This window comes from Homo sapiens, chromosome 17 (genome assembly GCF_000001405.40).
Source record: "Homo sapiens chromosome 17, GRCh38.p14 Primary Assembly".
NCBI classification, from domain to species: Eukaryota; Metazoa; Chordata; class Mammalia; order Primates; family Hominidae; genus Homo; species Homo sapiens.
In genome coordinates, this window is record NC_000017.11 from 15,034,099 (window position 1) to 15,050,487 (window position 16,389).

Consider the following 16,389-nt stretch of genomic DNA (forward strand, 5'->3'; position numbering starts at 1 on the left):
CCAGAGAAAGAATACAAATGAGGTTCCCACCCCACGTTTGTGTGTAGCTTCTCAACCCACATGCCCAAGTCCTGTTCACGCTCTTTCCCCAGCACGCCTCTTAATAGCAGCTCCTTGGATCACTCTGCCAAACAGACCTGGAAAAGAGGCCCTCGCAGTCTTTGGAAATGGGGTTGAGGCCATTTGCTTAGGGAACCTAATACCCCAGTGTCTGAAGTGGAGTCTAGAAAGAGCAGCACAGCTCTGAGTGCGACTCCCCTGGGCCCCAATTTCTTCACTTCACAAGGAGAAGACTGGGATGCTGAAGTTAAAATAGGTCCCCCAGGCCAGGCGCGGTGGCTCACGCCTGTAATCCCAGCATTTTGGGAGGCCGAGGTAGGCAAATCACCTGAGGTCCAGAGTTCGAGACCAGCCTGGCCAACATGGTGAAACCTCGTCTCTGTTAAAAGTACAAAAATTAGCCGGGCGCCTGTAGTCCCAGCTACTCAGGAGGCTGAGGCAGGAGAATGGAGTGAACCAGAGAGGCGGAGCCTGCAGTGAGCCGAGATCGCACCACTGCACTCCAGCCTGGGCGACAAAGCGAGACTGTGACTCAAAAAACAAAAACAAAACAAAAAAAGGTTCTTTCCTCTCTTTCTTGTCCTCAAGAGTATGCATTAGGTTGGGCACAGTGGCTCACTCCTGTAATCCCAGCACTTTGGGAGGCCAACATGGCTGGATCACGAGGTCAGGAGTTCAAGACCAGCCTGACAAACATGGCGAAATCCCGTCTCTACTACAAATACAAAAATTAGCCGGGCGTGGTGGCGAGTACCTGTAATCCCAGCTACTCAAGAGGCTGAGGCAGAATTGCTTGAACTTGGAGGCGAGGCGGAGGTTGCAGTGGGGGTATATCGCGACATTGCACTCCAGCCCTGGGCGACAGAGTAAGACTATGTCTCAAAAAAAAAAAAAAAGAGAGAGATAGAATATTCATTTACCTCTGTTTCTATGACTTTTTCTGTAAGTATAGTTATCCTGGTTGATGTTTACTGATTTTTTGAGTCTGTAAATTTATGTCTTTTAACCAATTTGGGAAATTATCAACCATTAGTTTTTGTTTTATGTTTTTGTTTTTTTTTTTTTTTTTGAGACGGAGTCTCACTCTGTCGCCCAGTGGAGTGCAGTGGCGCAGCCTCGGCTCACTGCAACCTCCGCCTCCCGGCTTCACGCCATTCTCCCGCCTTAGCCTCCCGAGTAGCTGGGACTACAAGCACCCACCACAACGCCTGGCTAATTTTTTTGTATTTTTAGTAGAGATGGGGTTTCACCGTGTTAGCCAGGATGGTCTCGATCTCCTGACCTCGTGATCCGCCTGCTTCGGCCTCCCAAAGCGCCAGGATTACAGGCGTGAGCCACCGCGCCTGGCCTAGTTTTTTAAATATTTTTTTTCTGCCCCATTATCTCCCTCTTCTCTTCTTCCGGGATTCCAGTCACGTGTAGGTTAAACCTTATGATATTGTCTGTGGGTCACTGAGCCACCATTTTTATTTTTTAATCTTTTTCTCCTTTTATTTTTCAGACTGGAATTTCTATTAATGTATCTTTACAGTCACTGACGCTCTCCTCATTCACTTACATTAAGTCCATCCAGTGATTTTTTTTTTTAATTTCAGGTATTGTATTTCTGGTTCTAGAATTTAACTTGTGGTTTTTATTAATAGTTTCTATTTGTCTGCTGAGATTTCCTTTCTGTTTATTGATTATTTGTATGTCAGCATTGAGCATAGTTATAACTGCTTTAAAATCCTCTTCTGAGAATCCCACCTTCTGAGTTCTCTTAAGGTTGGGCTCATTGCTGTGTTTTCTCTTAAGAATCGATTAAATTTTCTTGTTTCTTTATGTATTGAGTAATTTGTAATTATATCCTGGATGTTGTGAATTTTATGTTGTGGTGACTCTGGAGTGTTATATTATTCCAAAGTATGTAAATTGTCCATTTCAACAGGCAATATACTTGGTTGCTCAAGTTGCAAATTATGTCTCTTGGGTAGCATCTCAAATCTCAGTTCAGTTCTTTAATACTTAAGCCGCATTGAGTCAGTCATACATATCTAGTTGAGGGGGTTAGCCGGAGATATGGGCAGAGTTTATGTGTGAAATTTGGACGACTTCTCTCTGGCTCTCTCTTTTCTTGAATTCCATGTGCCACCCCTCGTCCTTTCTAGTGGCAGTAGTTGTCACAAATTCTGTTCTCTGATTTTTGAGGCCAGAGAGACTGGGTTTTCTCTTGGAATTTAGTCAATCTGCATGACACTGATCTAGCCTACTCACAAGCTAGAAGCCTTGGAAACTCACCGGGTGCCATTTCCTTCCTCCAAGTGCCAACTCCCCTTCCGAATCAGCTATTTTGGCAGTTACTTCAGTGAACCGCTTTCTGTAATTTTTCTAAAAGCTATAGTGAAGATGTTCAGGAGGATCAGTCCAGTGGGAATTTACCGAGCCATGCCAGAAATGGCGCCATCTTCTACAGCTACATTAACAAGAAAAGAAGACTCGCCTCATTTCCTTTTCCCTAGTCTTTCTTTCTCCGTTTTTTTTTCTCTTGGAGTTGTATCTCCCTCCCTATGGAAGTCTGCAGCCTTTTTCGGTGAATCCTTCCCCATTTTCAACAAGAGTAGCTGTTGAACTCAGGTATATATACTTCCTGATATTAGATCCCCCAAGGCACACGATCCTGGTTGGCCACTGCTCTTTTTGTCTCTTTTTACCTGGCTAGGTGATAAGATTTTTATCTCCTCTACTTCCTTCTCTATATATGCCTCCCCGAGCTGTTACACAAACTTCTGTGATCTCTGAACCTTCTCACCAAAGTGGTTAGTGCACCAGTTTTTGTTTCCTAACACTAATGAGAAAAAAGTTTTTCTAGATAAGTACACGTGGGGTAGACATAGGGTATATTCTTTTCTGAATTTGTGTTTCCACCAGTAATCTAAGAATAGCGTTGAGGTTATGACTTCTATTTCATTTCAAATACTCAAGAGGAGTTTATGAAGCTCCTTCCTTTCTAGGTCATCCATGACGACCCAGTACATTTATTCTGCAGGAATTCACATCTACAGAAGGCTGGCAGTCATCTTCCATCTGTAAGTTTTAGAAAAGAAAACAATTCTTTTTTTCTTAGTCTCAATGCCTATAAAATGATTCTTCGTTAGTTATCACATTTGGCTGCCACTTCTTACTCAGGGACTCCGAGCTGCTTCACTGGGGAAAAAGAAACTACTCTGTATATTCGAATAGTAGGAATTCAATCAAGGGATTTGTCATAGAGGTAGTGGAAGACCTGAGATACAACTGCAGGAAGCCACTACAATCTCTGTCTGGAGGGACAAAGAAGGTGGTATTACTAAAGCTCAGGTCCTGCAGAAACTGGAACAAAGCTGGAGCGTGAAGGAAAACACAGACACACTGCCTGTGGAGCTGCAAAGATGGAAAAAGACTCTGGTTTCTACCTGCTTGCCACCCTCCAATCTCTCTTCAACATCTGTCATTAAATATAGCTGCAATACAGAGCAGAGCAAGGGAAGTGTCAAAAAAATGATTTGAAAGCAAATATGAAGATAAATGACCAGCATAAGAAGTATAGCAAATGTCGTAGGAAATTTGAATTTACTTAAGCTGAAAGATCTTAACATGAATCTAAAGTCAAACTGTAGGCCAGACGTGGTGACTTATACCCATACTCCCAGCACTCTAAGAGTCCAAGGCAGTAAGATCACATGAGGCCAGGAGTTTAAGACCAGCCTGGGCAACATAGCAAGACCTTATCTTTAAAGATAAAAAAAAAAAACAAATAAAAATAAATAAAATCAAACTGTAGTGTCTTTAGTTGGGGTGGTTATGGAGGGACAATCTACGGCTAATTTTGGACTGTTTTAGTCTCTCCTTGCTCCTAACAGAAAACCAGGATGTGGTTCCTCCAGCATTCTCTTGGTTGAGATAATCACTTCCATACTTTTTCAAAAACCTCTCAAGTCATCTTCACCTACAGGTGCTATGAAAGAAGAGCCCTCCCTTTCTCTCTTGCTCAGACACCCAGAAAACTGAGCTGTAGGATGTTTGCATTCCCCCTACTCTGGCTCAGAATGATTGCATTTGGTTCAGTCACAGAATCAGAATTCCGGTTTCTAGGCATTGAAAGCACAGGAGGAGTGCACATCCCATTTCTGCATGTCTGTCCTTCCCTGTGGCCCCCGTGTAAATCTGTAGACTTACAAATCCTTAGGGCTGGCAGGGAGTTGAGGTCCTGCTGGAGTGATGGAAAGGGTTGGACTGCACCCCATTCAGTAAGGATATTTGGGAACTTGAAGCTCCTTTAGACTTCTCTCTGAATCAGGAGATGTACTTCTACTCAGATTACCCTGCCTGCCTCAGCTGGGGGAACCCAGGAAACCACTAATCCCATCATACACAGGGTTACTTGGTACACATGGGCTACAAGGAAATACCCAGCCAGGATCTTCTTGCAAAGACCAGGCGATATTCAGAACAAGGATTTCAGCATTGGCAAAGGGCAGTCTTTAGTGAAATTGGGAAACCCTGATCTTCTGGGAGGACAGAGAGTCACACCTGGGAGTACCCTGCAGGCAGTCGGGCACACAACACCACACAGGCAGCCTGAGTCTCCTGTGTCCCGTGTGCCCCTGCCATGTGTGTCAAATGGCTGAACATTTCCGCCTGTCCCGCCTCATGGGATTGGAATAGGTTTACAACAGAAGTGAATGTGGAAGCAATTTGTGAATTCAAAAGAACTGTATGAATGCCAGCACTATTAGTTCCTCGTTTACTCTTCATTAAGGAGCATGAGTCATTATTGAGACATTTCTTTTTCAGCAACTCTAAGTCACTGGTGCTCTTTTTTTGTGTGCTCTTATCTCATTGGAAAATAAGAATAAGTCCACTTATTTACTGGTGTGAACATACTCTCCATGAACAGTCCCCTAAATATTTTGAAAACTGATGTCAAGTCAACCTTTAAGGACTTCTTTATTAACCTTTGGAAGACTAGCATAATCTTGTGGTCATTGTGCCATTTGATCTGAAAGAAGGAAGAAAAGAAGGAAGGAGAGAAAGAGATGGGGGGAAGGGAGGGAAGAAAGGAAGACAGGGAGGGTGGAAGGAATAGACGGAGGAAAGAAGGAAAACAGAAAAAAATTTCAATATACCCTTTATATGTTATCTTTGATTTCCAAGTTGATAATGAAATAGATTTAAAATTTGGATTCTATCTATAGAAAAATAGGATTCTTCCTTCTTCAAAAAGCTGTATTGTCCTTCTCCACAAAATAACTGAGATCACCTTCTGAGGACTGCATTCTTCTGGTGAGCTCAAGGATAGTAATAGGGTCCCTGCCAGGATAGGGCTAGTACCAGGCCCTGTGGATATGTGATGACATGAGTCAATTTGACTTACACATTCCTGAGTTTGTCATCTCAGCAGCTCCCAGGGAAAGCACCTGGAGTTAAATTTCCATGAATCCACCAGAATAGCAGAGATATCAGGAAGTAGGCTGACTGCTTTGTCAGCGCCTATGTATGAAGATGGTATCCCCTCTGTTCCCATATCTACCCTGCCACAAGTCCACAGACTTCTCTAGGCATCACACCCCTTCCTGATATCTCATTATCTGAGGGGTTTAGACCCTACAATCAGGCTACTAGCCATGAACCCACTTAACAGAGACTAAACTCATGTAGTCAATAGAAAAATAAACTAATTAATGTTATTCTATATTTAACAATTTAGTTTAAAATTACAATGATTTAATTATTAGAACAAAGAATAAATCAAATTTTGATTTGTAGGTTTAGGGAGGTAAAATTTCCCCTTAAAAAGCTGAAAGGTAGCGTGCCAAGACTTCCTCACCCAATGCTTAACTTTTGCACATGATTTTTAAAAGAGTTGCTCATTTTTTTTTTGCAAACATATTCAAGGGCTTCATCAATGTTCTCAATGACCTGCCTTTTCAAATGGATTCATATTTAAATCATTCTCTTATGAAGTCCTTCCATGATATTATCCTTGCTTGTTTTCATTTCTTCGGTTGTTAACTGGTTTAAATATTTTAGATCCTCACGTATCAGTGGCTTTGCTTGATTCTGGGAGTTCTCCATTCACTTGATAAAGTCCTGGATATTTTGCAAATTTTGCAACTTTGCTTCAAAACACATTTGTAGTGTATATGACTACATTAACCATTTCATGCATGTATTAACCATGCAAGAAATCAATATCCAATAAGTAGGGCAACAGATCCATTCCTAAAGTTAAACTGGGAGGGGTGTTGAAATAGGGACTGATTTCATGCATGGTTAATACATTGGTGGATATTCTTGTAATACACTTTGTTTCCCTATGCACCTTCAACATGTAGGAACTTGAATAAGATAGCCACAGACAATGAGCACCTTTGGACATTAGATGCTGCCTTTATGTGGATAAAGTGGCTGTTGAACCGGGACGCCCATTCTAGACTAGAAAGGGAATCTTCTAGGGTTAGTTCTCTGCAGCTGCCTTATGGTTTGGGCTAGGAGGAGATATGGATAGGAGCTAAAAGAGAGGAGTTTTTAAAAGCAAATGAAGCAAAACGCTTTATCAGGTAAAGAAAAGGCATCCACATTTCCTACTTGCACCACAAGTAGTACTAGTGAGTCCTACTTGTTAAGATAAACGATAGCCTTGCTTCCAGCAGCCAGTTGTCCCTTGTTTCTAATGAATGTGTCACACAAAGAAAAGACACGATCACAGCCAACACTTGCTTCTGCAAACTGGCAATGTCTGCAGCTAAATTCGAATTTAAAAAAAATATTAGAAGAGTATTGAGAAAAGTAAAGAAAAAAGAAATTGCATTTAGATTTCAACCTCTCGCCAAGTCCATACTTCCGTCTGATGTTGCAATGAATTAGCTCTCTGGGGAATCCCGGGAAAGCCCACCGCCTCCAACTGCAGACACAAAGGAGAAGGTAGTTGCTGACTTCAATTCAAACAGGAAAGTCAACAATTCCTTTTTTTTTTTTTTTTTTTGAGATGGGGTCTTGCTCTGTCGCCCAGGCTGGAGTGCAGTGGTGTGATCTTGGCTCACTGCAAGCTCCACCTCCTGGGTTCACGCAATTCTCCCGCCTCAGCCTCCCGAGTAGCTGGGACTACAGGTGCCCGCCGCCACACCCGGCTAATTTTGTTTTTGCATTTTTAGTAGAGATGGGGTTTCACCGTGTTAGCCAGGATGGTCTCAATCTCCTGACCTCGTGATCCACCCGTCTCGGTCTCCCAAAGTGCTGGGATTACAGGCATGAGCCACCGCATCCAGCAACAATTCATTTTTAAGTGAGCAAACTAAAAAGCAAGTTTACAGGAGACAGGGTGAACGCCTCTCCTTACCTTACCCCTGCCTACCATGCCAACCTATGACTTGTCCCAGTTGAATGAAGTCATTTTCCATTTTTGTGTTAATAAGCAAAGTCTGGGAGCTTCCCCATGCCTGGATTGCCATGCCATGTGAGTCCACTGCATAAGTGTTGGGGTTTGAATTAAATTCTTGGCTCTTCCATTACTGCCTGTTTGATCTTAGGTAAGCTGCCAGCCTCTCTGGGCCTCAGTTTGCTCACGTTGAAAATGCAAACACTATCAGTACTTTCCTTACAGAGTAGTTGTAGGGAGCAAATGAACTAATACACGCAAAGTGTATAACGCTCTTTCTGGCACAAGGCAAGTGCTCAATGAGTGATAGTTACTATGACTAGATAATATGTGGAAAAATACAATATGGAATATATAAGATATGAGAGAGTTAAAAAAAAAAACACTGAGAGCATATCATTTGGGACCTCAGTTTTCTTAAGTGTGAAATAGGGGTGAAAATACCTATTCCAAAGGTGATTTTGATGTTGAAATATTAAATGGGGACAGTCTTTCACTAAATGCTTCGAAGTTATGGCCCTTATTTTTATTGCATTAACTGGCTCTGGAGCATACAATTTTGAACTTGGTTGTTTTCTCTGCTGTTTCTTCACCATCCCCAGTCCCACCGGCTAGGGAGCTGGAATTCCTGGTGTTCTCACACCACTGTGTACAGCTGTGCAGTGCACAACCTCCATGGCAGTTCTACATTTCATCTCAAACCTGGATCTGGGTCTTATTCAGCCCTTCTCCCTGCTCCATGTCCTGTGCCCTCAGGAGAGTAACCATGATCCTCCAGGAACCCCTGGAACTCCCCAGCACACGGTGTGGGCTCCTCACCTATGGGTTCCCCACCTTCCACGCAGGGAGCTCAGAAAAGCCTCAGCCCTGGACTGTGGGTGTGGGAGGGGGCAAGCTGGGGTCCAGGGAGCTTTGGCCCCTGCTGAGTCTGAGTCATTCTCCCTTTCCCTCAATGAAGGAAATGTAAACATGTAAGAAAGAAAGGAACTCAACACCACCCGTGCTATTTGTCAAAACGGACAATGCTACTGTCTATGCAGTAGAAGGTTATTGAATCGGGGGTCCAGGAGGCCTGAATCTTTGCTTTGGCTTAGCTTGGGCCAACACCATAACCTGGAGAAGGCACACAGAAGTACACCTCGCCTTCCTGTCCTCATCTGTGAGATTAACTTACCTCTGCATCCTGTGGAGTATTAGTGTGCCAGGGTACCATTCAGGCCTTCCACAGAGTGTTACTGTGGTATTCCATGGAAAAGAATGTTGTGAGATGGGAGATGTAATTATTCCACATCAAACAGAATAAAACATCTTTCTTCACAGACAGATTTTTCAGAGGGAGGAAGGTTTATCATTGCCCAAACTTACTTTGCCACATTACCCTTTAAATTTTTTTAATGGAACATCTGTTAACATCTTGAAGATGTCCACTGAGGATAGCTTGGGCAATGATGAATTACACCTCTTTATAGTCCCTCTTGGTTTAAAATTACAGTGTCTCCTCAATATCAGAGAAATAACTTCGAAAAGAAAAACTAAAATATGAGTTGGCCTGAGTAATCATTGTATCAATAAGAGTAACTGGTGAAACCTTCTTCTAACCTGTTGAATTAGCATGTGTTTATCATTCGTTGGGTCAAATTAACCTTTTCATGTATAATTTTGTTAAGATATAGTAATTTTTACATTTATACAGCATTTTAGACATGTAACATCATTAAACTGATGACAGGCAAATTAGAAGAAAATCAGACAAGACATTAAATTTGTTAAATAATTAAAGAAGTACCCTATGGTTATATTTTATTCAAAAGTTAATTTCTGATTTGTTATATTTTTTGAAGGTTCTAAGCTAGTGAAAGAGAGTTTGTTACTTGACAGTAGTGAATTACAAATAAAAAATTTCTAGATTACAGATGAAGACTCAAGCCATGCTAGATTACTACAATTCTAAGACAAGCTTTAGTTAAAACAGGGTTCCATCATCATGAATACCTACCTGGGGCCGGGCGCAGTGGCTCACGCCTGTAATCCCAGAACTTTGGGAGGCCGAGGCCGGTGGATCATGAGGTCAGGAGATGGAGACCATCCTGGCTAACGTGGTGAAACCCCATCTCTACTAAATATACAAAAAATTAGCCGGGCTTGGTGGCGGGTGCCTGTAGTCCCAGCTACTCCGGAGGCTGAGGCAGGAGAATGCCGTGAACCCGGGAGGCAGAGCTTGCAGTGAGCCGAGATGGTGCCACTGCACTCCAGCCTGGGTGACAGAGCCAGACTCCGTCTCAAAAAAAAAAAAAAAAAAAAAAAGAATACCTACCCGGGTCGGGCGCAATGGCTCATGCCTGTAATCCCAGCACTTTGGGAGGCCGAGGCAGGCAGATCACCTGAGGTCAGGAGTTCGAGACCAGCCTGGCCAACATAGTGAAACCCCGTCTCTACTCAAAATACAAAAATTAGCCATGTGTGGTGCTACGCGCCTGGTAATCCCAGCTACTTGGGAGGCTGAAGCAGGAGAATCGCTTGAACTTGGGAGGCAGAGGTTGCAGTGAGCCAAGATCACGCCACTGCACTCCAGCCTGGCCAACAGAGTGAGACCTGTCTCAAAAGAAAGAAAGAAAGAAAAAAAAGAATACCTACCTAATAACCCTACACTTGGATGCAGTAGGACACTTCTAACAAAGTATATTCAAATTTCAATTCCAGTTTTCACTCAGTCAACTCTTCCTGCTCCTCTAGCCTCTCTCAGGGAATGGTAGGTACCCAGCGTCCTGAGGCCCAGACCCAGGGAGGAGCCCAGACTCTTCCCCACCTCTCCACACCCACCAAGAAAACACAAAGCCTGGAAATTCTTTTTACCCCCTCTCCAGTCAACCCACCTGTCTCCATCATCGCTGCTGTTTTCCCTGTTCCAGGCACCATAATCTTTACCCTGAAATACAGCTACTTCAGTGATGGCTGCACCTCCAGCATCTAATCCATTTGCCATACTGCATCTAATCCATTTGCCATACTGCAGCCAGGAAGATCTTTCCTACGAGATGATGCAGTCATTTACCTTCCTGTCTAAAAGCCCTTCGTGGCTCCCCGCTGCCCTGAGGATGAAGTCCAAACTCCTCAGCATAACATAAAAGGTCTTTTTTGTCTCCTACTTACAATTGCTGGCTTAAAAAACGAATGCATCGGCCAGGCGTGGTGGCTCATGCAACATAATCCCAGCACTTTGGCAGGCCGAGGCAGGAGGATTACATGAGGTCAGGAGTTCAAGACTGGCTTGACCAGCATAGTGAAACCCCATCTCTACTAAAAATACAAAATTAGCCAGGTGTGGTGGGGGGCACCTGTAATCCCAGCTACTCGGGAGGCTGAGACAGGAGAATCGCTTGAAACCAAGAGGCAGAGGTTACAGTGAGCTGAGATCGCGCCCTTGCACTCCAGCCTGGGCAACAAGCACGAAACTCCGTCTCAAAAAAAAAAAAAAAAAAGAATGCATTACACATACATATTTATTATATAGTATATTCATTCTACAAATAAATATATAATGTATAGGCACACACATTTCCACATACAATTAAGTACAAAGAAAATATTACAGACCCCAATGTATAATGATTTGGATTTCACAAACATTACCATTCTGCCATATTTATTTATATAATTTTAGATACTGTTTTAAAGAAATGAAATATTATAGATACAGCTAAACGTTCTACACCCCAGCCACAAATCCCACCTTCCAGGCCAGACATTGCCAGAGGGAATCTACCTTTACTCTTTTCCATCAGCAAAGTTAATTACCCCAGCATCCTTTGGTGAACAGTTCATCCCTTCCTCACAAATCTGGAGTGCCTTCTCTGTCCTGTATCAGCTGTTTCTCAATGCTTAATTCTATAATTCTGTTCCATTGGTCTCTCTCTTTCAAGACAAGCTTTTCTTTATTATTCTTAAAAGATGACTTGCCTATTTTTGGCTCTTTATTTCAGTTAGATGTTTGTTATTTTTAACAGAACCTGGATACTAATTTAATGGCTTTGCACGTTATGGGTATATTCAGGCTTTCTCTTATTTTCTTGAGGAAATAACTATAGTTATTTTTATTCAAATATGTTCATTTGTCTATGGGTTCATATTTATTAACACCATTTACATTGTTTTATTAACCTCTGTAAGTTTTTCTAGTTGATTCATTTATGCTTTTATCTTTATTATTGCTTTTTATTTACTTTTAGAGAGCTTGTGCTTTTATTGTTTTTCCAACTTCTTTTTGTTTTTTGTTTATGAATACTATTTTTATTGATACATAACAGTCGTGCATATTTTAGGGGTACATATGATATTTTGATACATGTGTACAATGTTTAATGATCAAATCAGGTAATTGAGACATCAATAACCTCAAACATTTATATTTATTGTTTCTTTGTGTTGCGAACTTTCCAATTCTGCTCTTCTAGCTATTTTGAAATATATTATTAAGTATTATCTCCCTACTGTACCATCAAATACTAGAACTTATTCCTTATATCTAACTGTATTTTAGTATGCATTAACCAACTTCTTTTCATCCCCTTCTTAGCCTCTATTAATCACTATTGCTTTTTCAACTTCTTGGGACAAATGCTTAATTGGTTAATTTTTAGTCTTTTTTTTTTTTTTTTTTTTTTTTTGAGATGGAGTCTTGCTCTGTCGCCCAGGCTGGAGTGCAGTAGCACCATCTTGGCTCACTGCAAGCCCCGCCTCCTGGGTTCACGCCATTCTCCTGCCTCAGCCTCCCGAGTAGCTGGGACTGCAGGTGCCCGCCACCACGCCCAGCTAATTTTTTGTATTTTAAGTAGAGATGGGGTTTCACTGTGTTAACCAGGATGGTCTCGATCTCCTGACCTCGTGATCCACCTGCCTCGGCCTCCCAAAGTGCTGAGATTACAAGCGTGAGCCACTGCACCTGGCCTGTTTTTCTTAATATAAGCATTGACAGTATTTAGGGTAATAAATGTCCCTATAAATATCAGTTTAACTGTACAAGTTGTGGTATGAACTGTCTGCAATTTCTATTGTTCTTAATATTTTGTAACTATCAATTTGAATTATTTTTAACCCATCAATTATTTAGAAGTATTTTTAACTTAATAGTGAATAGAATTTCTTAAAATTATCTTTTAGTCATTAATTTATAATCTTACTTCATCTTTGTTAGAAGACATAGTTTGGGTTATATTGTTTTCTTGATACTTATTTAGACTTTGTAATCAAGTATATGGACAATGTTTATAAGTGTTCTTTACTTAAAATATGAAGATGCTTTTTTATTGGAAATGGATTCTTTTATATTGGGTGGACATTCTAAATATGTTCATCATATTAAGCTTTATGAATGCGTTATGTAAAACATTTATATCCTTAGAAAATATTTATCTCCATTTTTCAGTAACTCATAGAGATGTGTTCAAAATTCCACTATAATGTTGGATTCACTTCGTATTCAGGAAATTTTTGCGTTACACATTTTTCGGCTGTCTGATTCAAGACTGTTAGAACTTCCAAGTGACTTGTGTTTATCTGTAAGAAAAGATTCCCCTTATCTCTAATACAGTTGATTTTGTCTGATATTAAGGTCACTATATCAGCTTTCTTTTCTTTTTTGCCCACTGTATCTTTTTTCATGCCACTACTTTCAACTTTTCTGTATCATATTTTAGATGGATCTCTTAAAAATAACATATAATTTAGTATTTTTTTATTTGATTGTTTTATTCCAGTGTGAGAATCTTTGTCATTTGACAAAACAGTGTAATACGTTTACACTTAGAACTACTGGCATATCTGAACACTTTTCTACCTTCTAATTTTTTAATTATCATTCTCCATTTATTTTCCTCCTTTCTTGCTTTTTATTGAATTATGTGGGAATTTTCTTCTCTTCCTTCGATTTGTTCAAAAGTTGTACATTCTTTCCCTATTTCTCAGTTCATTATCCTTATATTTTTAGCAAACATATTCAACATAGTTTTATCAACCTCTCTGCCTTCTTCAAACAATGAAAGGATCTTAGATCTTCCTTTTAATCTTCTTCAGGTGGTTTTTTTGCTATGTTTCTAATTGTCTGGGTGTTAGTTCTCCTATCTGCTGCCTTAATAATTCTCATTCATGGTTTTTTGCTTCTTTGCCTGTATCGTAATTTTCTTATGAGTTCTTCCTTGATGAACCCGCTTTATTGAGGGTTTCTTGAATAGTCTGAGTGATCCTAAGAATAGTGTTCTATTGGTTTCTCCCAGGAGCACAGTGAATTCTGGACCACTTTATGTCAATTTCTCAGTTTGGGATTATCACACCATGCATATAAATTCAGAATTTATACCCATGTTTAGTGCAGACTTGACATTTTGATTTTTCAGAGGACATTGTCTAATTTTTAAAGATTTACTTGGAGCCTGAGACAGACCCTGTGCTTTCTTACAATGTCTCCAAGCCCGGAGACAAATTTTTCTTTTTGTTATTATTATTCTAAACTTGGAGGCCATTTGAGGATCCTGGCTATGTAGAAGGGAGCTCAATTACAGCCACCCACTTCATGCAATGCCAAAGATACACCTCCTTTCCTCCAGTTCCATTAGGGCAACAAAACCTTAGTCCCAGCTCACAGCTGCATTCCCAGGTCTGATGGCCCCAGCCTTCAGCAAGGCTGCCAGAGGCTACTGAGGGTGAGAGGGGTACTATGACTAGGTATCTATTATTATTGGCATCAAGGGACTTCCATCTACTTCTGCTATTAAACTGTATGTGTAGATTCTACTAAGAATTTCTATGTTGTTTAAAAAGGGAGGAAAATCCATATTAGTATACCATAACATAAAAATCAGATTCTGAGTGCATTATTCTGCTTTTCTTGTTTCCTTCTAATCTTTCCTCCCTTTCCACTCCTGACCCAAACTATTTTATGTTCATTCTCTCAACTCCCAGGTCTCCCCTTAGAAGCCAGGTAGAGTAACAGCTCTATGAAGTTTGAGAAAACCTGCCCACTTACTGACTCCTTGTGGTTGTGGTTGAGCCATGTAGCTCTGAGTAGAAAGAAGGAGGAAAAAAAAGATTCAGGCAAAAACGGGGATAGGAAAGAACAAGTCATCAAAGAAACTTACAGATATCATCAAATGTATTTTTCGTGAGTCCTCAGTTACTCAGTAGAGTAAATCTCTCAATAATGTTTCAGAATCAAATAAGGCAACATCTTTGGAATGATCCTGTCAAATTGATGAAAAACCAAACCAACTTATATATGAAAATCAGCTTTGCTTTCTTTCTATTTGAAGGGGGAAAAAAAATCCTTGGACTAAGAATATCCCTCACCAAGAGAAAAGAAGCAGAAAGCACTGATAATTAGGTGCAAAGAACATTCCCCCAAATGTTCTTAAATTTCATAGCCAGATACTTTTCTAAATTTTTTATCACATTTTCTAGGGAAGCATTTTCTGACATTTCCTCCTGTTGAGACAGTTTCCTTTCAGTGATTCTTTCTGCATAACTTTAAGAGGCAGTCTCCAACAGGTTCCCGCTGCATGTGGCTTTCCTTCTTGGGATAATTTGCCAATGGCAATTGCATTCCTTATGCACTCAGTGACCTACCAGTCTGCCCTGGGTCCCACGGACTAAATTCTCAAACTCTCCCCTGAGGATCAGTTTTCTTTCATTTTTAATTTTTAAATCTCTTCATCCAGCTGTATTACTTTTGACCATCAGGTCTAGGTGAGATTGACAGATGCTGACAGTGGTTACAGCTGCTGCTAGCCACTGGTTACCTTAGAAATGGAGGTAAAACAAACACAGGAATTCCAAGGAACCATACCTCACCTCTAGGTTTCTGAAAACATTGTAGAGTAAATAAATCACAACCCTTTATCTATCAGACTGATTCTGTGGCTGAATTTACAAGAAGAAGCAGAGGAAAGAGAGACGGTAGCAGGGGAGGAACAAAAGTCAATTGTTACCAATAGTTCGGAGACAGAAAGCTCTGAGCTTCCATTAAGCAGTTTGATTTATAGCTTCGGATATTATGTGCAAGAGCGCCCACAACCCAAAGTGTTTTGTGTCTTGACCTGCAAAAAATAAGTCTATTAACCCTAATCAATCTCCTATTATGCAGAGGTGCCTGAAATTTAGCAAGCAAAAGGGTGACTCAGGTCTTGCAGCCCAGGAACTAACCATTGTCTTTGGTAATCTGCAGTAGCTGGGGTCTTTGCAGAAGCAAAATTATCATTCAGAGTAAGGTGCTTGGGGGGGTGTGGTTTCATCTTTTAATGAGAAAATGGAGGATTGTTTTCATTTTTAATTGCTGGGGCTAATTAAGGCCTAGGGCTCTTGTGTGAACCTGGACCCTTGCGGATGCGTGTTCACAGACACCTCTGCCTGTGCTTCACCCCAGCTGTGGGTAACCCGCCTGCCCTGACTTCCTGCTGTAATTAGTAAGGGCTTCTATTCCGATTAAGTACTTCATTACAGAAGCTAATTATGAAGTCTAGCTGGTTCGCTGTGCCTTAGGAGGGATTTCCTTGTGCTTTGTGAGGGGAATTCTAAGGGTGGGTGTTATTTTAACCTTTGAAGGGCAAAATAGAAATTGGCACATCACACGGATGGTCAAATGTTAATATGGGCATGGAAAATGGAAATATTTAAATCCACACCAGGAAAACCAAGCAAACAAAGCTTCTTTTTAACTAAGATTTGGAGAGGGGGTTAGAGAGGAAATAAATGCTATAATTCTATCAACACCTACAAACTGTTATAATAGATCCGTATTGGATCCCCAAACAAACCCAGTCCTGGGTTGCAGAATCTGTACTTTGCCTTACATATTGGACCAGAGTGTAACTGTGTAATAGAAGGTTTACGGTAGTGACCACATATTTTTCCTTGCAATATTCTGTTCATTCGTGTGTATGTTGTAA

General features: G+C 40.9%; 1 long non-coding RNA gene across 1 annotated transcript in view; it reads left to right on the plus strand.

The window, feature by feature from the left end:
- Positions 1-16,389, plus strand: part of LOC101928475 (uncharacterized) — a 37,472-nt gene that overhangs the window by 19,294 nt on the left and 1,789 nt on the right. The gene's annotated exons all lie outside the window — the stretch shown is intronic.